This window comes from Homo sapiens, chromosome 1 (assembly GCF_000001405.40).
Source record: "Homo sapiens chromosome 1, GRCh38.p14 Primary Assembly".
In the NCBI taxonomy this organism is placed as follows: domain Eukaryota; kingdom Metazoa; phylum Chordata; class Mammalia; order Primates; family Hominidae; genus Homo; species Homo sapiens.
Genome location: NC_000001.11, coordinates 47,683,444 through 47,705,140, shown reverse-complemented (window position 1 = coordinate 47,705,140; position 21,697 = coordinate 47,683,444). Strand labels below are relative to the sequence as shown.

The 21,697-nt window shown below is 47.9% G+C and overlaps 2 long non-coding RNA genes across 2 annotated transcripts, besides 2 other annotated features; one reads left to right on the top strand and one right to left on the bottom strand.

Annotated features, from left to right (window-relative positions):
• Nucleotides 1–1,115: 1,115 nt before the first annotated feature.
• LINC01738 (long intergenic non-protein coding RNA 1738) lies at nucleotides 1,116–16,643 on the bottom strand. The gene is made up of 3 exons (XR_001738040.3): nucleotides 16,559–16,643; nucleotides 10,907–10,946; nucleotides 1,116–2,412 (listed from the first exon to the last, which is right to left on the bottom strand). It is a non-coding gene; the product is annotated as a long intergenic non-protein coding RNA 1738 (long non-coding RNA).
• On the top strand, nucleotides 10,713–14,620 carry LOC124904174 (uncharacterized). The gene is made up of 2 exons (XR_007066067.1): nucleotides 10,713–11,053; nucleotides 14,045–14,620. It is a non-coding gene; the product is annotated as an uncharacterized LOC124904174 (long non-coding RNA).
• Nucleotides 16,924–17,612: an enhancer, noted in NCBI's record as "H3K27ac-H3K4me1 hESC enhancer chr1:48153201-48153889 (GRCh37/hg19 assembly coordinates)". NCBI's record gives its function as "activates a minimal SCP1, AML or CMV promoter by ChIP-STARR-seq in naive H9 embryonic stem cells {active_cell/tissue: H9 hESC(naive)}" and the evidence as "EXISTENCE:reporter gene assay evidence [ECO:0000049][PMID:30033119]".
• Nucleotides 17,613–18,301: an enhancer, noted in NCBI's record as "H3K4me1 hESC enhancer chr1:48152512-48153200 (GRCh37/hg19 assembly coordinates)". NCBI's record gives its function as "activates a minimal SCP1, AML or CMV promoter by ChIP-STARR-seq in primed H9 embryonic stem cells {active_cell/tissue: H9 hESC(primed)}" and the evidence as "EXISTENCE:reporter gene assay evidence [ECO:0000049][PMID:30033119]".

The following is a 21,697-nucleotide window of genomic DNA, read 5'->3' as shown; positions in this document are numbered from 1 at the left end:
CCATACATAGAGGTGTACACAATATCTATAAACCTCCATACCTCCATAAGTAGACAATAACACCTATACAATATACAGGTTCACCAGCTGATAGAGATATGAACTATACAGATATCAGATGTAGATACTGTTATGGACTGAATGTGCTCCCCTAAAATTCACATGTCAAAGCCCTAACCCCCAATGTGATGGTATCTGGGGTTGGGCCCTTGGGAGGTAATTAGGTTTAGATCAAGTCTTGAGGGTGGGACCCTATGATGGGATTAGTGTTTTTATAAGATCTCTCTCTCGCGCGCGCGCGCTCTCTCTCTCTCCCCTCCCACTTGAGGATACAGGGAGAAAGTGGCCACACACAAGCCAGAAAAAGTCCTCACCAGAAACCAAAGTTGCTGGCACCTTGATCTTGGACTTCACAGCCTCCAAAACTATGAGAAATAAATGTCTGTTGTTTAAGCCACTCAGTCTATAGTATTTTGTCATAGCAGCCTGAGCAGACTTAAACAGATATGCACTAGGAATGGTGCTTGCACACATTTGCTCATATTCAGTCACACATCAATGAAAATTATTGCTACACTCCTAGAGACATAGTGGAATGTGTGCGCACTGCTCCCATTACTGCTGCCTCTTATGTATGCAACTCTTACCGTGGCGAGCATTTCACAGACTTCCTCTCACTTTATTCTCAGGACAGCCCCAAGAGGGAGACATTTATTAGCTCCATTTTATAAAACAGGAGGCTAAAATGAATAAGGTGTTCAGGGTTGATTGCACAGCTGCTAAGCGGTAGAGCTGGGATTTGAACTCAGGTCTGCTGACTCCAATGTGCATGCTCCATCGGGATCATAAATAATCCAGCATTCAGAGCTGGGGGAGAGGAACCTCAGTAGGGTCTAAGAGAACAATCCTGGCACTCCAGTGAGGCCAAAGCCTCCATTCCCTAGGGCGCGGGACTTGTTCAGCCTAGCACCTTATGACTCACTTACTGTAATTGGGTACAGCTGTCTCCCAGAGTGTGGCAAGGTCTTCCCAAGTGCAGATTCACAGGCATCTCTGAAACCGTTAAAGAACTGGTTTTCAACTTTTGTTCAAAATAATGACCATGAGAAGAGTAATAATATAAACTGATTTTAATATATGCCCAGCTTAAATGATAAGCTCTGCTCCAGTGTTGATATTTTCTGCCAATACAAAATTATTTTATCCTTAGTACAAAGTTTCTTATCAGATGCATGCTGCTATGTGTTTTTAATTAATAATGAGATCATTTAATGGCCTATTTGCCACTGATTTCTAACTGTAGCACCCACTCCCCCACCCAGGTCCTCTTGTTTGCAGTTAACAGGTGCCAGGGTGTGTTCTGCTTTCTCAGGCCCTGAACTCCCTATATCCAGCTCTTCTGAAACCTCCCGACCCCATCCAGAGCTGCCCTGGGAACATTCTGGACTCTCCATCAACCCTGGGATGCAGAAGGGCCTGGGGCAACCCCATAGGCACGTCACACTCCTCCATCCCTGGACTAGCACCCTGGCTGGCTCCCCAGAAGAAAAATGAAGGTCCTCCTGACAGGCAAGCATAAATATTTTCTTTCCCAGCCTCGTTCAGATGGGGATCTTTGCTGTTAATAAAGTGGCAGCTGGCTATCTGGGAGTGTCTGAACGTGGCCTTCTCTGGCAAAGAGCGCATCATCCATCTCTGTCCTCACCCCGTCAGATGACAAGACTTTGCTGGCCTGCTCCTTCTTGGAATGTGCCTTGGCTGGCAGAAAGCAGGCAGGAAGCATTTGCAAAACACCAGTTTCATCTTCTCTCTGTGGAGGGGCAAGGAGGAGCGAGCTGAGTTTGCTGCTCTTGGCAAGCCCATCTATCAGGAGTGTGGCCATCGGGTGCCGGGCAAGGCTATTTATTTAAGCCTCACATCAGGCAGTGAGACTTAATTTATGGGGACAGGAGGGAGGGTGTTGCAGCAGGCTGGGTCTTCCCACTTTGAAAGGTGCTCAGACGAGAAAGGGCAACAGCACGTAATGGGAAATCGTGCCGTGCTTTGCAGCATGTGGCCTGGAAATGGAGCTGCAAGGCCCGGAAAGGTTTTGAAATAACATTTCAGGTTGGAGCCCTCCCTGCCCCCACCTGGAAATAGGTGTTAGGATGGAAAACAGGGCACCTCGCATCACCCCTCATCACCAGCCAGGGCTGTTGAAATGAAAACAAAAAATTCTTCCTTAAAAGAAAATGTATTTTCCAAAGTTCTGTGAATTTTCTCTTGACTTCCAAGTTCAGAAAAGGCTGCGTGAAGTCTTGGAGTTATGGAGCCTGCTTGGGGGACCAAGGAAGAAGCGCTGTGGGGGTAGATATCACCAGCCTCCAGGCTGTTCAGGTTTGTTCATCCACACATCTGGTGAGCAGTAGGCCTCTGGATGGTGAAAAGATACAAAGATTTAGGGTCTCCTGGGCCTGGGCTCAATTCCCCGCTGTATTAGTTTCCCAAGGTTACCTAGGGGAAATTATTCAAACTTTTTGTGTTTTAGTTTCCCCATATGTAGAATGGGGACAGTAATACAGATGTCTACGGATTGGTACAGGATACTATTGAAGCCTGCCCATGAGAGTGCCCATTATAGCACTTACTCACAATCAGTGCTTGGCAACATGTTGAGTTTGTTGAAGGAGCTCACAGAGGTTTCCCATTGCCTGCAGAATGGGGCAGAGCTCTCACTTTTACAGTCAATACCTTCTGGGATCTGATCCCAACCAATCCTCTCACCTGGCGTCCCAGGATCCTCCTACTAAAATTGGTGTGCAGGGCCTGGCCACACCCTGTCCATTCACTCTACACCACTGCACCCCCAGCTGCTTGCCCATGCCATCCACACCCAGCACACCCTCCTCATTGCACCGTCCGTCCAGAGGCCCTGTCATCAGGGGTGGCGAGAACTACCACTTACAAGTGCACGCTGTGGGTCAGACACTGCACGTATGTTATTTTAGATCTATGTTTTACAGGATCAGGAGAGACAGAATCAAGAGAAAGGAAAGGGAACACAGTAAGAAATTTCCAGAAGTCAAAAAATATGGTCAGATTTACCATAGAGGAAACATTGCTCTGAGCCAAAGAAGAGATTGTGGAGTAGGGGAGGAGGCCAAGTGTCAGGGAGGAGGCTGGGGGTCAGGGAGGAGGTTGGGGTCAGGCAGGGAACTGAGGGTTAAGGAAGAGGCTGGGGATCAGGGAGTAGGCTGAGTGTCAGGGAGGAAGCTGAAGGGTCAGGGAGGAAGCTGAGCGTCAGGGAGGAAGCTGAGGGGTCAGGGAGGAGGCTGATCGTCAGGGAGGAAGCTGAGGGGTCCGAGAGGAGGCTGAGAATCAGGTAAGAGGCTGTTGCAGGGTCCCAGCAAGGAAAGACAATGAGAGTGACTTTTAGATGGAGAGGAGAGGCCGGGTTTGAGAGTTTGCTTCATTCATCCATTCAGTGCATATGGGGTGGGCAACTACTGTGTGTCAGGCTGGATTCCAGCTGCTGGGATACAGTAGTGAACAAAGCAATATGAAATCTCTGCCCTCCTGGAGTTTACATCCTAGTGGGAGAAACAGATCATGGGAGAAACAGATCATAAACTAATAAGAAAAACATACAGTGTTAGATAAGGATAAGTGCTATAAAGAAACATCAAAGCAAGGGAATGGGATATCAAAGGAAGGGGTCAGTGACAAAATTATGGATACAGTAGCCACAGAAGGCCTCGCTAATAGGGTAACTTCTGAGAGAAGACTGGAAGGAAGCAAGAGTGAGCCCTGCAGACATCTAGAGGGAGCATCCCAGGCAAAGGGAATTAGGAGCACCAAGGCTCCAAGGCAGGAGCGTGCCCAGCATGTGCCAGGAGAGGGTAGGGCCTGTGGGGCTGGAGGGGGCACAAAGGGAGAGGATTAGGAGAACTCAGAGGGGGACGAAAGGAGCTAAGTCAAAATGGGCCTTGTCTGTCTCAGGCTCCTGGAGGTCAGGACTCTGGTGTTGGGGCCTTGGGCAGGCCCTTCCCTCTCCAGCTGATTTCTCCCAGTGGAGGATACGTGTGGTGTGGATATGATTGTGAAAGCTTTGAGGATTATGCCATGTGCTGAGCAAAACTCAGACCCTGTGGCCAGGTGGGGTGGCTCACTCCTGTAATCCCAGCACTTTGGGAGGCCGAGATGGGTGGATCACCTGAGGTCAGGAGTTCAAGATCAGCCTGGCCAACATGGTGAAACCCCATCTCTACTAAAAATACAAAAATTAGCAGGGCGTGGTGGCGCATGCCTGTAATCCCAGCTATTTAAGAGGCTGAGGCAATAGAATCGCTTGAACCCAGGAGATGGAGGTTGCAGTGAGCCGAGGTTGCAGTGAGCCGAAATTGCACCACTGCACTCCAGCCTGGTGACAGAGCGAGACTCCATCTCAAAAAAAAAAAAAAAAAAAAAAAGCAGCCAGGCATGGTGGTGTGCGTCTGTAGTCCCAGCCACTCAGGAGGCTAAGGCAGGAGAATTGCTTGAACCCAGGAGGCGGAGGTTGCAGTGAGCCGAGATCACACCACTGCACTCCAGCCTGGGCAACAGAGTGAGACTGTCTCAAAAAAAAAGAAAAATCCAGCCCTGCAGGCCCTGAGATTCTCCAGGTTAAAGTCACAAACACCCACCCTTTCTGAGACTAAAGTTTGGGAGATGCTAAGATGGTAGCAGTGCTGCCAACCTCAGGATGCAGAGGGCCTTACCTCTCCCCACCCACCTGCTGCTCCTGCACCCTGGGAAACAAAAGAGGGGCTGACTTCAGGCCACAGTGGCCTAGTGGCCTCTAGGCCTTGTGTCCACAAATACTGTGTCACACGGCTTGGGGTCTTTTCCTTCACAATGAATTCATCTTCATCCATCATTCCATTAATTATTCTCCCCAGTATTCTTTTATTCATGTACATATTCATTTCCTCCCTCATTCTATTTGTTTACTCCTTTCTTCACTCATACACATATTCATTTTCCTCCCTCCTCAAACTTATCACAAGAGTAACTAAATACATCATAGATTGTGCAACTCCCAGTGTCTGCCTGACTTCTCAGCTACAATGTGAAAGATGAGGGCAGGAAGCATGTCTTCTTCACAGCTGTGATACCAGCATCTGGCCCCATGCAGAGCCCATAGCATGTGCTCTATAAATGGATTTCTACAGCCATCCATTCACTGCACGTGCATTCATTCTTTAGGCATTCCTCAAACCTCCGTGTGTACCAAAACCTGGGCCAGACACATTTCAGAAGAGGGAGAAGCAAGAAGAAAATATAGGATAAATTATCCCAGCCCCTGTCATCCACCATTCCATTCATCCATCCAATAAACGTTTACCAATGACACTTAGTACTGAATCCTGAGCCGGCAACTGCTTATGCAACTGCTTGCATAAGGATGATCAAGGGAAGGCTGAGGTTGAGCCGCAGCTGGGCCTCAGAGAATGGGCAAAATGTCAGGAGGAAATGTAGCCAGGGGAGAGGGAATGGCAGGAACAGAGGTTTCCATGAACATCACCCTGCCTGGTGGTTAGGGTACAACTGCTATCAAGATAGCTTGGGGCAAATCATGGAGGCATTTAATTGTCAGGCATGAGAGTTTCCTGGGCTCCAGAGGAACTTGATCTCGGCCTGTCATTTCCAGGTGTGAGAAGGCAGGTGAGGCAGGCAGCGCTGAAGGTTTCAGGTTGGTTGCTCCTGGGCAGAGTATGATTTCCTGTTTGCCTAGAGAGGAAGAAAAGGCCTTCGAAAGACAGTGAAGGTTCTCCAACAGGCCACACAAGCTCAAAATGGCTCAGACAAAGCTTTGTGATGACTTTAATGCAAATGAACTAAAAGTATATGGATTAAATTTTCCTCCCTAAAATACATGAGCTGTGGAAACAGAAAGGTGTGTATTTAAATGTAGGCCCCTTGAGCTCTCTCTAAGCCTGTCTTAGCGCAATGATACACCATGGACGCGGTTAACTCTGCAGGTGCCACAGTTCCACCCAACAGCTTTGGACCTAATCAAGGATAAAGGGGTCTCAGCCCTCTAATGCTGCAGCTCCCCTCCCCAAATCTTCTGGGCCCTGGCAGGTCCTGGCAGAGATCCTGGGCCCACTCTTGGCCTCTTTGACCAGGAAAAATTTGCTCCCGGGCTTAGGTCTTCAAAAAACACCAGCTCTTTCTGGCTAGCCAGGAAGGAGAGTAAACACCAAATAATAACAAAACAATAGGTATAATTTTAATATTTATTCTTTCACATGTAAACACATTCATCTAACAAAAGACTGAATCAGTATCTCCTTTGACCCTCATCAGAAGCTGAGGGGATAGTTGGCAGTGGGTGGAGGGGGGCGAGGGGGATTATTATCCTCATTTTACAGATGAGGAAGCTCAAGTCCAGAGAGGTTAAAGTGACTTTTGTGAATGTCACACCTCTGCTACAGTGCTCTAATAAGCCCACTGCACCAAACTTCCAAATTGGTAAGATCATGGCATCCTTTTTCAGTGAAGAGTGTGTCCCGGATGCAAATAGCCATTAAGTGGTTCATATGGTTCTGTGGTTGAGATGGGCCCTAAGAAGCTGTGATCTTTCCTCCCATCTCATGGTAACCTAGGGGTTAGAGGTAAGGCTACAGTCTGCAACTGAGGTCTGGACTCAGCCCAGGCAAGAACCAGAGACCCGGTCTCCTGGCCCCAGCCCAGTGTTATTTCCACTCTGACACTGACCTAGGGCAAGGCCCTCCCAGTTTTTTCAGCCTCCCTATCTGTAGTGAGAGGGTGTGGGAGAGAAAGCCTCTAGGGCCCCTTCCAGGGTCCAGGCTGTAGCTGTGATCAGTTCTGAGCTCAGGATGTGAAGGTGAAGAATGAGAGCAGGAAGTTCCAGGCTCCAGGGGGTGGGGCAGGCCCCACCAGGGGAGGCAGAGGGCACAGAAGCCACCCCTGACCGACTTCACAAGATAAGGCCCACCCTCACCTCCCCACTTCCTCCTCTCCAGCCCCAGGGTCTCCTTTGCTTCCACATCTTGTTGACTTTTGAATTTACAAGGTGTGCCAGTTGCCAAGGCCCCTGGTTGATTACACCCCCGGACCTGCCTTAGGAAAGCATCCTCCTCTCCAAGCCCCCACCAGCAACTGGGAGGTGAGGCTGGGAACGCAAGATGGGATCTCTCAGGTGCTGGAAAGAAATTAAAGAGGAAACTTATCAAAAAGAGGATGGAAGAGAGAAAGCAAAGGTAAGTTCCATTCTGGAAAGGAAATGGGGAGGAGCCACGTGCAATTTTATAGCCATGTTCTGAAACTCATGACTCTTGACCAGGTCCGACTCTGACCGTGGGGGAAAGCTCAGGTGGGGTGAGGAGCTTTATGGTGTTTGCTTGGTTTATTGGCTTTGTGGAAGAGGATATGAGGGCCCAGGCAGTTCTCTGGAGATAGGACCCCTCAAGGAAAGGCCAAGATTTATGGTTTCCGGAAGCCCTCAAGGTTACTGGCCTAGGCCTAGGCTTTCCTTGGTTCTGGGGATTTAAGGGAGGGAGGGCCTGGAGGTAAAGGAAATTCCAAATCATGGTGAGAATCATTCCCCAAAAGACTTTATCTTCCATGGTCTCCCATGATTCCCAGTAACTACATGATGTTGACAGTCCGCCATCATTTTAACGAAATGGGGGCCTGAGGCTGGGAGAGCAGGCAGGCCGGCCCCTGGTCAGCTAGAATCAGTGTCAGGGGAGCAACTCAAACCCATCTTTCCTGGTTCCCACTCCAGGGCGCTTTCTCACTGGGCTATTTATACTGGAGTGGCCTTTGACACCCAATCAGAAAATACCTGAGTCACACTGGCTAAAAGAAAAGAAGTATTGCTAAGGGCTCTGGCCTAGAGTCACCTCTGTGTCACCACATGCAGGCCTGGGACAATAGCCATCCATCACTGCTCAGCAAGGTAGTGTAGGTGTCCCCTTGCACAAGCATGTGACTACACAAAGGGTGCTTGACCTTCCAGGAAATGCTACTGTGGACACTGTCCCTGGCCAAGTGGCTCTGGAAACAAATGTTTCATTGACAAACCTACTTCACAGGCATAAGAGGCTGGTTCCTGACATGGCCTTCCAGTCTTCTGTGGACCCTGTTAGCAGGATAAATTTTATTTCTGAGCTTAATTAGGGGACATGCCATAAATATTCATGCAGCAAAATGAGCCCTGGCTCACAAGTGCAGCTGCTTCCCGCTTGGGGGAAATTAACATTGTTTTCCAACCATGAGTAATGAGGCGCCACTGCTGGAGAGAGGAGCCTTTTCAACAGCCTCTTTAGGACAGAAAGGGAGAGCCACACTCAGAGGCACCCGCACCCTGGGAGCCAGCCTGGCCCCCGCAGACCCCTCTGCATCTCCAAATGAGGGGCACAGCTGGGCTCCTCTGGGGCTCAGTCCTGAAGGGAGCCCCCACCAAGGCGCTCAGCAGAGCAGACAATGCATCAAGAACAGGGATCAGCAAACTATAACACAAGGGCCAAATCCACCTGCCACCTGCTTTTGTAAATAAAGTTTTATTGGAACCCATTTGTTTAGATATGGCTACAACAGCAGAGTTGAGTAATGTGACAAGAGACCTTATGGCCTGCCAAGCCAAAGGAAAATATTTACAACCTGGTCCTTTGCAGAAAAAGTATGCCCTAGAACTGTTTCATCCTGGACATTTGCAATTATTAATATAAGTCCCATAATCTCAAATTCTCTGTAACCTTAGGAATATGGAATGGTTTTAAAGTCTCATGGTTTTAGAATCTTCGTGCATAGACTCTGGAACCAGACTTCAATCTCAGCTCTATCACTTCCTTAGCTGTGTGACCATGGGCAAGTTACTTAACCTTCTCTCTGCCTCAGTTTATTTATCTATAAACTGGGGGTAAGAATAGTACCTAGCTCATAGTGTTGTGAAGACTCAATGAATATTTATAAAGCCCATATAAAAGTATTCAGCATAGGATAAGCTTTAAATAAGTACCTGTTAAATAAATGGATTCAATTTCCTATAATTCCAGATCCTCAAAGAATAGGATCTTAACCTTCCCCTACAAATTTCAGCCTGTAAGATCTTAGAATCTAAGCTGTGACAGGGAGAGCCCCCAAGTTTCTGACACTGTACTAAATACCTTATGTGCATTATCTCATTTAATCTCCAAAACAACTCTTGGAAGTAGGAATTACAGGCAATTTACATATAAGGAAACAAACTTTGCAAAGGTAGGAGACTAATCCAAGGTCACAGGGGTAAATTGCAAAGCTTGAACAGGAGGAGCCCAGGGTACCTGACTCCAAGCCTATCTCTCAGATAATCCTACCCCTCACCCACTGCCACAGTCTCTCCTCAGTACCTGTCACAGGGTCCTCCAGCCTCTGCTGGGCACCTGCCGTGTCAGGGAGCTCACTGCCACTGGAGACAGCCAGCTCTGTGGCTGGAGAGCTCACACTGGGATCTGCTCTTACTTTCGCTCCTTCTAACCCCCTTGGTCCTAGTTTGTCTCTTTGCAGCTCTGAAAAGCCCAGGCAAGAGACCACAGACACTTCTGGGGACATCTCCCAACTTGCTGGGAGCCAGCAGCAGCCTAGGCCTCAAGCATTTGCAACAAACTAGACCCATGAAAAGACAGAGCTCCATAGCTTTGGACAAACCATGCCTCCAGCAAGCCCTCCCTGGTACCAACAAGAAGCAGGGACCCTTCTTTCTCCTTAAGACTCCCAACATTCCTGCCTGAACCATCACTCGATGAGACAAGAGCCATGTCCTCATCTAAGTCTTGTCATAATACTCCTAGGACTCTCTAAGCCTTGTAATCTTTCTTCTTGCTGTCAAAGTGTTTTGAGATCTAGTCTCTCCTATGGTTCTGCAGCATAATGAAGCTCATCAAGTGCTGGTAGCATTGCGTTTATCCTCAGCATTCTTGACCTAGTAGGTCAAGAAAGTATTACCATTCCCATTTATAAGATGATGTCCCCGAGACCCAGAGGGGAGGAGGAACAGAAAGAAAAAAGAAATTATACTATAACAGAACCTTCTGGTACCAGGCCCTGTGCTAAGCCCTTTGTCTCATTTCATCCTGACACACGTAGATGCTACCCCACTTTCCGGGAAAGTGAACTGTGGCTCCTAAAGGAAATCCGACCTGTTCTAGGTTCCATAGACAGCAGGAGGAGGAAGACATTGATCATGCATCTACTGTGTGCTAAGTATGTTCATACACATATATGCCTTATTCTGCCATCACACACACACAAAACCCTAAGGTGGGTTTTTTTTAATGCCTGCTTGCCAGATGTGTAAACTAAGGCTCAGAGGCTGGGGTGGCTGTCCCAGGGGAGTGGGGCTGGGCCCCAGGCCTCATTGGTGTGGATGAAGCACTCTTGCCCGACCCCAGCAGCCATGGCAAGACTCAGCCCATATCCTTTCAGGGAGTGGCAAAGGAAACACTGGGCCCTTTTACAGGGTTTCCATGTGCATGACCGGGAGCCCCTAAGGATGGCCGATCTGCCACGGATGGGAGGAACGGTTTATTTTTTCTGTGGGCCGCTCTGGAGCCTTTCAAAGGTGTGAAGTTCCATGGCCTGCAAAAGCTGATTCTACTGGCTATCCAAAGCAGACCTGCCTGGGCCCCAGCCCCTGCAGCCCCCACAGTCCCCACAGCCCCCCACAGCCCCCGCAGACCCCGGCCTCTTCATATGCCGCCCATGGGAACTCCCTCTGGCCCACCTGGCCTCTCACACGCTGAAAGGCTGCAGAGTGACAGGCCGGCAACTGGACTCTGATGTTTATTCACCAAACACAGAGACGGCCCTCCAGGCCTCTGCTACCTCAGGGAAGAGGGGTCACCAGCCCACCCCCAGGCCAGGATCCCAGCACACTCACCTCTGGAGACTGGCCATGAGGAGGAGCATCCAAGCTGCTCCTGCAGCGAGAGAGACTCTGGTTAGACACAAGGAAGAACTAGCTGCCACTGAGGGACATTCAGCTCAGAGAGAGAAGCGGAATCTCCTGAAGTGCCATGGCATCTTGGTAAGGACCCTAGACTCTTTGTAACCCCTGGGATGAGGAGGGGTGAGGCTGCATGAATCCCAAGCCCCACTCTACCAGTTCTGACAATGTCGTAATTCTGAGGTTCCACGGCATGAGACAGGGGGTCAGACTGGACCACAGGATCATTTCTGAATGCTTCTACCTCCAGACCTGCCAAGTGATTGACCGGACAAGGCTGAGCTTGTGTTGGGGAACCGCTTGGTTGCTTCCCTGTACATAGTCAAGAAAGTTGCACGGTCACTTTGTAAAAACGGAACTGCTGGTATTGTTGTTTTTCTGTTGTTCCTTTCCCCGCTACCATTTTTATAACTGAACTGATTGCTTTGATTGGACTGGCCCGTTGCTCATCTAAACTGACCCGTTGCTGGACTCAACTGACAGGCTGTTTGTCGGCCACGGTCAGCTGTGGATGTGGAGCTGGTTGGTGTGTAGCTTTCCAGATTAGATATTTTGATGAAATGGACTGGTCCGAGCCCTGCAATCACCCCAGCCCCACTCCCCAACCTCACCACCAGCCTCGGCTTTTCCAGAGAATTGCAGTTCCATGAGTTTCAGGCATAAATCCCGGCCAAATCCACCATGAAAGGACACACAATATTGTCACAGGTTTAAAACTGGGATTCAAATCAAGAGGGCAGAAAGTCCCAATGGAGGACCCGTTGTGCCCTGCAGCCTTGCCAGGCAGTCCACGTGGGCTGGACCGAGGCTGCGGTTCTGTCCCTCATCCGTGTCGGGGGATTGCTGAGCCCCTAGCACAGCCCCCTCACTTGCCTCTTTAACTCACTTCCTTTCATTGCTGACAGGTCCACCAACTTTCAATGGGGCTGTGGCAAGAGGGTACTCACCCACCCACCCCCAAGCCCATTCACCCTGCCCACCCCTCCTTGGCCTTTCAGGCTCACAGTGAAAGGGACTTGTCCAGAAATCGGGGATTTACCATTGTGCCCTTTGTAAAGACTCTCCATTTTCCTCAGCCCCACCCCTCCCATCTCCAGAATCAGTAGGGGTGGCCCCTGCAGAGCTGCAGATGGATGCAACAGAGCACAACACACCCAACACCCTTGTTTAGAATCAGGGCTGAAGCCTCAGAAACTCAAACTTTGTTTCAGAGCCGGAAGACAACCTCTAGATTTCTCCGGCCTCCACCCGCTCCCCATTTTACAGATGGGGAAACTGAGAGTCATAGAATGAGGCCTCTTGACACCTAGTGTGCTATTCCATTAGCTCGTTTTCACTCCCCATTTCTTTTCTTACTTCTTTCAGAATTGAGGAGGTAATGACATTTGTCATTTGTGTTAACAATATGCCACACCACTGAAAACTGTGTACAATGGCTGCAGCCAACAGTCTAGGAAGTTTGGGGTCATGGTTTTGTTGTTTCACATCTGAAATCAAAACCCAGAGCCATGAAAATAGCAGATCTTGGTTGAACTGCCTCTAAAATAAATAGAAATACTCACCTAACTAATTTGAAATTCAACTCACGAAAAGGAATAAAGCCAAATTGTAATTTTTCTGTTTCTAATATTTTTGCTCCCACATTTAGATTATTTAATCCAACTACCTATCTGTGGGTGGGCCTGCTGGGGACCAGAAAGGAGCTCTAACTTGCCCAAAGGCACACAGCATGGCAGGCGGGTTTGGCCTGACTATCCTCTACCTCTCCGGCACGCATTTCGGTGTTGGAAAAATCTCGGCTACATCGAAATGGTATTCCTAGAACCAGTTGGGCACTGCAATTTGGTTAGCTGTGTGGCTTTGCAGTTTCTAAACTAAATGGTTTATTAAGAATAGATGTGTCAGGCCAGGCACAGTGGCTCATGCCTGTAATCTCAGCACTTTGGGAGGCCAAGGCAAGTGGATCACCTCAGGTTGGGAGTTTGAGACCAGCCTGACCAACATAGAGAAACCCTGTCTCTACTGAAAATACAAAATTAGCAGGGCATGGTGGTACATGCCTGTAATCCCAGCTACTCAGGAGGCTGAGGCAGGAGAATCACTTGAACCCAGGAGGCGGAGGTTGCAGTGAGCTGAGATCGCGCCACTGCACTCCAGCCTGGGCAACAAGAGCAAAACTCTGTCAAAAAAAAAAAAAAAAAAGAATAGATCTGTGAGATACTATCTTATGCCAGTTAGAATGGCGATCATTAAAAAGTCAGGAAACAACAGATGTTGGAGAGGATGTGGAGAAATAGGAATGCTTTTACACTGTTAGTGGGAGTGTAAATTAGTTCAACCACTGTGGAAGACAGTGTGGCGATTCCTCAAGGACCTAGAACCAGAAATACCATTTGACCCAGCAATACCATTTGATCCAGCAATCCCATTAGATCCAGCAATCCCATTACTGGGTATACACCCAAAGAATTAAAAATCATTCTACTATAAAGACACATGTACATGTATGTTTATTGCAGCACTATTCACAATAGCTAAGACTGGGAACCAACCCAAATGCCCATCAATGATAGACTGGATGACGAAAATGTGGCACATATACACCATGGAATACTATGCAGCCATAAAAAAGGATGAGTTCATGTCCTTTGCAGGGACATGGATGAAGCTGGGAACCATCATTCTCAGCAAACTAACACAGGAACAGAAAACCAAAGACCACATGTTCTCACTCATAAGTGGGAGTCGAACAATGAGAACACGTGGACATAGGGAGGGGACCATCACACACAAGGGCCTGTTGGGTGGAGGGGGTGGCTAGGGGAGGGAGAGCATTAGGATAAATACCTAATATAGATGACGGGTTGATGGGTGCAGCAAACCACCATGGCGCGTGTATTCCTATGTAACAAACCTGCACATTTTACACATGTATCCCAGAACTTAAAGTATAATAATAATAATAAAAGAATAGATGTGAAAGCAGCAAAAGCGGTTGATTTCAATGCTTCATCTATGGGAAGATTGCCACAATCTCTGAGCATTTCTAACCCAGGCTGCTCCCTCCCCTAGGAGGTGCTTTACGTGATCCTGGGGCTGGGAGATTCTGCATGGGAACTGAGCTGGAGAAAAGATCATTCAAGGAAGATAGCCTCGTCTTTTGGCGGTCACTGCACAGACTCTGTCTTTATAGTGCTTAAATAAAAAGCAGGAGGTTTCATATTTAAATTGTTTATCTTCGGCTAGTTCTTCTACAGAGCTTTGGGATGAATTCATTCCGAAGGCAATATTTTCTAAATTACCAGGCTGACTCTGAAGCCGACTTTGTTTTGCTTTTGGTTTATTCCTAAATGTAATAGAATCCCAAGTGTTAATCTCCAGTTGATACCTAACCATCCTCTTCCACTATGCTGTCCCGGTGGGGATTTATGACTGGGTGATGAGCCACCACGTCTCTCTGAACCCCGATGAGGACATGGATAACATCATCAACTCATCACTGAACCATCGTCATCAACCCAGCTTTAATCCCCAAGACTGATAACCATCGGAGGCTGTTAATTCCCAGCAAATTATCTAATCCACATGTTGTCCGATCTGTGTAAACCCAGCCCATGAGGATCATAAAATAAATAAGCATGAAATGGCTTACAGTTTCGAATCTCCTTTCACCTAGATAGGCCAGGCTGCATGATTGCAGCCACTGTCGTGGCTCCCACCTCCTTCCAAGAGGGAATGGGCAGCATGGGTTCCTATGTGGGCCTGCTTGATGCTGTTTCTAGGAGGCCACACACACACCCCTGCCTGTCCCTCCTGCTCTCCCTCCCATATCCCAAATGAAGCCAAGGCTTCGTTTCCCTGATATGTTAATCACTGAAATAGCCTTGTCCTGCAAGACACAGGCATGGTGAATTAAGATGCTGGATGATTTGCAAAACGAAAAGCAAGCTCTCCCTTGAAAAACAGGGGGCTGGTAGGAATTTGTAATGATGAGAGGCAGGCAGAGAGGGGAGACAGAAAAGGAGGTCGGCGGCTCTAGGGGATGTAAGGAACGATAAAATTAGACTGCGTTGTCTAGACATAAGCACAGGGTTACCGAGAGGTTTCGCGCGCGCTTGCACGCATGTGTGTGTGTGTGTGTGTGTGTGTGTGTGTGAATAGGACTGAGCAAGGAGTAGGGCCAAATGGCCTCTAAATCCCTTTTTGCCTCTGAAATTCTTCAAGGCTATGTCTAAAAGCCTATAATTCTAAAATTCTGTAATTCATAGATCTGATACTTCTCTAACAGACACTGTGATTCTAAGGTTCTGTGATTCTAAGAGTTTATAATCCAATGAGTCTGTAATTATAAACTGCTATGATTCTCTAATTCTAAACACTATGGTTCTCTAATTCTACCATTCCATGATGCTAATATCCTCCTGTAATTCTAAGATTCTATCATTGTTTCCTTAATTTAATATTCCACCATTCTCAAGTTCTGTGATTGAAAGAGGTCATGATTCTGTATTTCTATAAATTTATTCTTTTATATTTATAATGCTCTATAATTCTAGTATTCTAGAATTCTGATTTCATAATCCTAAAATTCTAGAATTCTAATGTTTTATGCTACTAAAAATCTAAAGCATTTATATGATTTTTTAAATCAAGTTTTCAAGAATTCCCACAATCTAAGATTCTAACATACTGGGTTTCTAAGACCCTACAATACAATTTTTTTTTTTATTCAATGTTCTGTATTTTGAAGATTAAATGTCAAGGAGTCTTAGTTCTGAAACGTTAATATTATATGCTATCATGATTCCAACATGTCTCATATTTTATGATATCATTATTACAAACACAAAGTCATTTTATCTACAAAATGCAGGAATTAAGCTGCAAGTGACAAAGAATCAAGGGACCTCCACAGCTGTCCTCCTAATCAGATTGGAGCACATCCCATGGCCATGGATTCTTCCTCAGTGGCAAAGGAGACCTGAAGACAGCTGCTTTACCCAGCCAGTGCTCCAGGAGCTGCCTGGAAAGACAAAGGCATGGGAGGTGGGGGCCTGGCCAGGGTCAGGCCGAGGAGTTGGCCCCATGCCTCCGGGAGGCCCCTCCTCAAAAGCCAGGTTTCCAAACATCTGCCAGCATTTGGGTCCCGATTGCTGTCCTTTAAAAGTATCCCTCTCCTTTTCTTGTTCCCCATCAAGGGCTCCCATGACAATCATTTCAAGCAGCTAATGAGTTTCAGATGGGCTTTGGGAGCCAGGGACGGATGGACGCTCAGAGAGGAGGGTTCTTAGGCTGAGTTCCGTGGGCAGGGGGAGGGGTGGGGGTCAGATAGGAGAATGTTTTGTAGCTGAAGTATTAGGGGCCGTCCACCCCTCCCAGGCCTGGGGACAGAACCTGGAAAGGAGCTGGAGCCGTGGTTACGCTGCTTGCTCCTTCCCGCTCGCCCGTGTTGGCTCGCTGTCAATATAGAGACCCACACTCCCTTTCTAACGCCTCACACACTGTTTTGAACCTTGATGAAATAAAGACCCAGAAGCATTATAGGAAACATCGAGGCCTTCTTGAGGCCAAGATGTGATTACTCACCTGCTAATAGAAGGGTCTTTGCAAAAGACCGAAATCGTCCTTGTTGAAATTACATCGTCTGTGATTCTCTCCCCTTCCAGATGCACGGGAGTACATCCAGAGGCTGCTGTCAGCTCTCATGTGGGCCACACCGCCTGGCCCGGGGTGGGGTTGCCTGTGGGGCCCCTGGGCCCCCTGGCACCACACGGGGGCAGCTCAGCAATCCTGCCGTTCCCTGTGCCGGGCTGCTCTCTCCCTTTGGCTCGGGGCTCTGAGGGGGCTGACAGTGACCCCAAAGAGCTTTCTCCCTCTTGTGCCAGGGGATGAGGAGAGGCCAGGGGCTCGGGAGAGGCGTCCCAGCCTTCATTTCCGTAGCATTCAGAGAGCCCAGGGAGCAGCCCGTGCCCAGAACCTGGCCAGGATTATAAGTGGGTTCTGCAGCGTTCTCACTCCCTGGCTGCCCGAGAACTTCCGCTGCTTTCAAGGTCTAATTTATGGATTCACTTAAATGAGCAGAACATTGAGAAAGACACACCAATGCATTTCAGAGGAACTCACACACTCCACAACCCAGCGAGGCCATTCCCTACCAGGAATGTAGGAGGAAGTTCTGCAACAGGATGTGTATAGTTTAGGGTTTGGAGGGGGTCTCTCCTGGCAAGAGAGACCAAACCTTATAATTAAGTAACTCTCCGTTTCCTTTAAGATATCAACAACAACAACCACGTTCTCCCCAGTTGCCTAAACAGGACAAGTCCCCGGTTAAGCAGTTCCTGGTGGTCTGTGCTCACACATGTGCAGAGAGAGAAAAAAATCTGCCTGGAAGCTGGCCTCCCTGGCTTCCCAGCAGCGGGCCACCTCCCTGCTTCGCCGCCACCCCCTCCCCCGTTCGCAATTAGGGGTAATCTTTTGTTGCCTGGAAAGTGTAAAAATCGCCGGCTTTTCTTTTTGCATGCATAATATCCATTTCCCCTCCAAGTGCGTTATTTGGTTTGGGAATTACATCTATTTACAAGAGTAGATGTTGCACAAAGGTTGTGTTTATGTGGAAAATTATATCGGTGACACGGGCTGATTGGCATGTGGAGGCTGGGAGAGCAGGCCTTCTCATCAGCTTGGAATAACAAAATGATTGCATTTTCAGCAAAGCTAATTGATCACATACCTCGCTGGGCTATCTGTTTACTCAAAGGCCATCCAGGCCCTGGGAAGGTGGAGAGAAGAGAGCCCGGGGCCCGTGGTCACTGCCAGGCCGAGCCAGCCAAGGGCTAGTGGGGTGTGGTGTAGACACGGGGCCTGGACAGGTCCTCAGGTGGTGAGGTTGGGCAGGGAGATAGGCTGACTCTGTTCTCCCCGGGGAAACCAGGCCCGTACTTCACACTGGTGACCGTGTCCTTTCTCCAGACCCCTGAAGTCAGTATGGGGCAGCGCAGGTGTGGGGAAGGGCTAGTTGGAGTATGATCTGGAGCCACTGAAAAGAAAAGACAAGTAAATTCCCTTCTCTCATCCATTGGAAAAGCAGTGGGCTTTAAGGTGGTGCTGAGCTGGCTGCACAGGGCTCGTGGGAGTGAAAGCTCTGGAAACCTGTCTCCATGTGTCTGTCTTGACTGAGTGACTCTGTCTTTGCTCTTCTCTGGGGAGCTCTAGATCAGGGGCCAGGACTGGGACTAGGAGGATGGATGGGAAAGAGGGACGTTATGGGGTGGGGGATGCTGTTAAGGAGTACATTCAGCTTCCAAATCTGCAGACAGTGAAACCTGAGCCCAACCCTCTCTGACACCCTGCCGGAACAGATCTTGCTCCTGCCTTTGGGGAAGGAGGTGCTTATCTTTAGGTTTGTGATAAAAATTCCTGGCCCTGGGCTGACTGAGCCTGTGCGAGGTCTCCTAAGAAGATATTACCTCCTCTTCATTGACCCACACCAGCCAGGCCTCTTGGACCAAACAGCTGAAGCCACCTAAAAAAAGCCCGGAGTTAGAATTGTATTTCCTCCCCAGGGTTAAAACTTCAGTTATGTGGGGGCAGAAAACAAAACAGTTGGATATAGTTAAGCAAGTACTTGAATTGAAAATGGCCAGTTATTTGAGAAACAACTTGTCCGCAATTCACCAAGAAACATTAATTTACCAGTCACTTTGCAAACATGAAGTTCCTTTGAAAACTACTGGTTTAAAACAATCTGATATCCCTCTCCTATTTTATGAAGATGGCTGGTTATTCTGCAAACTTCCACTTGGAGTTAGTCATGCTACTAGTTATTCTTTACAAACAACTTGGCACAAGCTTCAGCTCCTGGTTTGTCAGGTTAGAACTATGATTTGGTCCTTTTTCCCATTGCTGATCAAATTCAGATTTAGTTAACTTTTTCTAAAGCAAAGAGGAAGAAATATTTGGGGGCAATCAATAATGATCCTTCACTGATTTCCTGGAGCTATCCTAAAATCCTCAGATACTATTCAACCTAACAGCCTTATTTTACAAATGGGGAAACTGAGGCCTAGAATATGCTAGTCTTTGCTGATCCCTGCTGGTGACATCTGAGCCGGGTTTGAGTATTATTTGTGAGTACTTGGAACAGGTGATGCTAAGGAAACTTCAGGTGCTTTTTCTCTAAGCTCAGTCATGAGGTTTTTCACTTCTACCCAGGTCTGAGCCACACAAGTCTGAATTTGGAACATTTTAGATATTGTTGTAATAACCCTCTGGTAACACTGTGCATGTGTGTTTGTGTATGTGTGTGTTTGTCCACCAGGCATTTCAAAATCTCTGGCCCTTCTGAAAGACAGGCAAGTTTATTAATGCAGAGCTCTCCGAATTGTTTTATAATTGGAAACATTTTGCAATGAAAGAACATTAATAAAACCTGAATCCAAATCAAACTTCTCTGTGTATGTTATTTTTACTCCGCAGTCAAAAGCTTTTATTAGATTTAAAACTTTCACTGTGCTTATCTCTGGCTGTATAATGTTCTACAATAAGAAAAAAAGTCCAATGACTCTGAAGTCTGGCAAAATAATATACTTTCTTGGATGTCTCTGTGTGTTGCCAATTAGCTTTGCCGTGAACACAGGCCCCCATCCATCACCCGCCTCTGGGTGGCTGTAACAGAGACCTAATTTGTTTCACATGCCCTGCGCTCTCTGAGCCATTCACCAGCACCTCCAACCTGCTGAGGAGCAGCTTGGCTGGAGAAGAGATGAATGACAAGAAAAACCCAAGAGGAGACAGAGAGACCGCTTATCAGAAATGGGCCCTGCTCTGCTCACTCAGTGGGAAAATCCCAGCCCTTCATGCCTCTAATTCCTTCCACCCACCTCCCGCCCCACCCCTCTTTCTCTTTCTCCTTCTCTTCTTCTCCCCTTTCATGACCTAAAAGACCCAGGACTCACAGAAGGCGAGGCCTTGAGTGGAGAGTGGAAAACTTAGTCTTGTCTTCCAACTTCCAAGGGCTGGCTGCAGTCCTCTCCCTTCTCTGCCGGGTTCCCACTCCCTCCCACCTACTCCTTTTACAAGCCCAAGGTTTAAACCTCCAGTTCCCTAGGAATTTTATGAATGCTCAGCACAAGCCAAAATAAACTCGTAAAGAAAAAGTTTCTAAAGAAGGTCATAGACCCGTATAGCAAGTGCTAAGCGGTAAATACAAAAGTTCTTGGGGTCTTTGGGAGCTGTGGTCTGGGTGGTGGAAGGTTGGGGTCAATAGAGGGGAAAGGGAAGAACAAGGAGAAAAAGTGAAGCTTCCTTTTTCTCCTAGTTCTAGACCCTCAGAGTCTTTATTGTTATTATTTTGTAAAGCCTTATAGTTTGATGCCTCATTTTATTGATGCTGTAGCCCAGAGAGGTGGAGGGATTGATTCAGTGTCACACAGGAAGCTGGCCCGTGCGGTGCTCTGACACCCGTGTCTGCAGGCCTCACTCTCTGTGGTACTGACACGGTGAGGGGAGGAAAGGAAGGCGCCTTGGGATCACAGAGCTGCCTATTTTAACTCGTTAGAGCAGTGATGTCCAATAGAACTTTCTGCAATGGTAGAAATGTCTTCTGTCTGTGCTGCCCAATATAGTAGGCACTTGCCACATACAGCTATTAAATTAAGTAAAATGTAAAATTCAGTCCAACCAGCCACAATTCAAGGGCTACCATATTGAACAGCACAGATATAACACATTTCCATCTCTGTAGAGAGTTCTATTGGATAGTGCTGTTCTAAGGGCCACCATCACCAGCCCCAAGGACATGCTTGTGGTCATGGTGCAAGGTGGCCCCTTCCTCTAGGCTTTCACAGCCCTCAGTACTTTCACTACCCCCAATCATGACAGTTGCCACTCAATTATAAATGACAATGTCCTGTCTGTCTTGCCCACCTGAATGAGAGCACTTTGGGGGCTGGGGTCCTGTCTCTTTTCTCTTTTCACCTCCACGGCATCCAGCACAAGACAGATTCTCAATGATGATTTAGTCTCAGAATCTTAGAGTTGTAAAGGACCTTAAAGGGAGTCTAACAGAACTGCTCCCGGGGCAGGGACCTGCCCTGCAGCCTCTCAGAGGTAGCCCATCCACCCACTGTTTGCACACCTCTGGGGGCAGAGACCTCACTATCTCCCCAGGCAGCTGAGTCCATTTCTGAGCGGCTGGGATTATTAGAATAGACTTTCTCAAATCTAGCTGAAATCTCCCTACTTGCATCGTCTACCCTTGCTCCGCCCTCTGGCGTCTCACAATATTAATTTTGCTTTTGTTTCTATGTAATGACCCTTCTAAGAGCTAGACATAGTATATAATTCCTCCATGTTCCTCTTGAAACAAGAAGCTCATCACGGAATGCCTAATTCTAGATGTGGGCTGGTCAGCAAGGATAGCAGATACTGACCTCCCTTGATCTAGAGACTATTCTTCTGCTAGGGCCACCCACACATTTAGCAGCTTCATTACTCCATAGGCTCATCTTGGGTTTGGGTTGTATACACCTCCCAGGCCATATGCATGGCCCATGACTACGTTGCCCCAGTGGTGAATGGAATGGAAAAGGCCTCTGTCAATACTGCTCTTTGACCTGGGTGTGCAGGGACACTGCTCCTGCCTTACTTCTCAAGCAGCCTCACACTTTGAGTGCCAACCTCAACATTTTCTAAATCCCTCTCCATTGCCTGGGACTTGGGATTTGC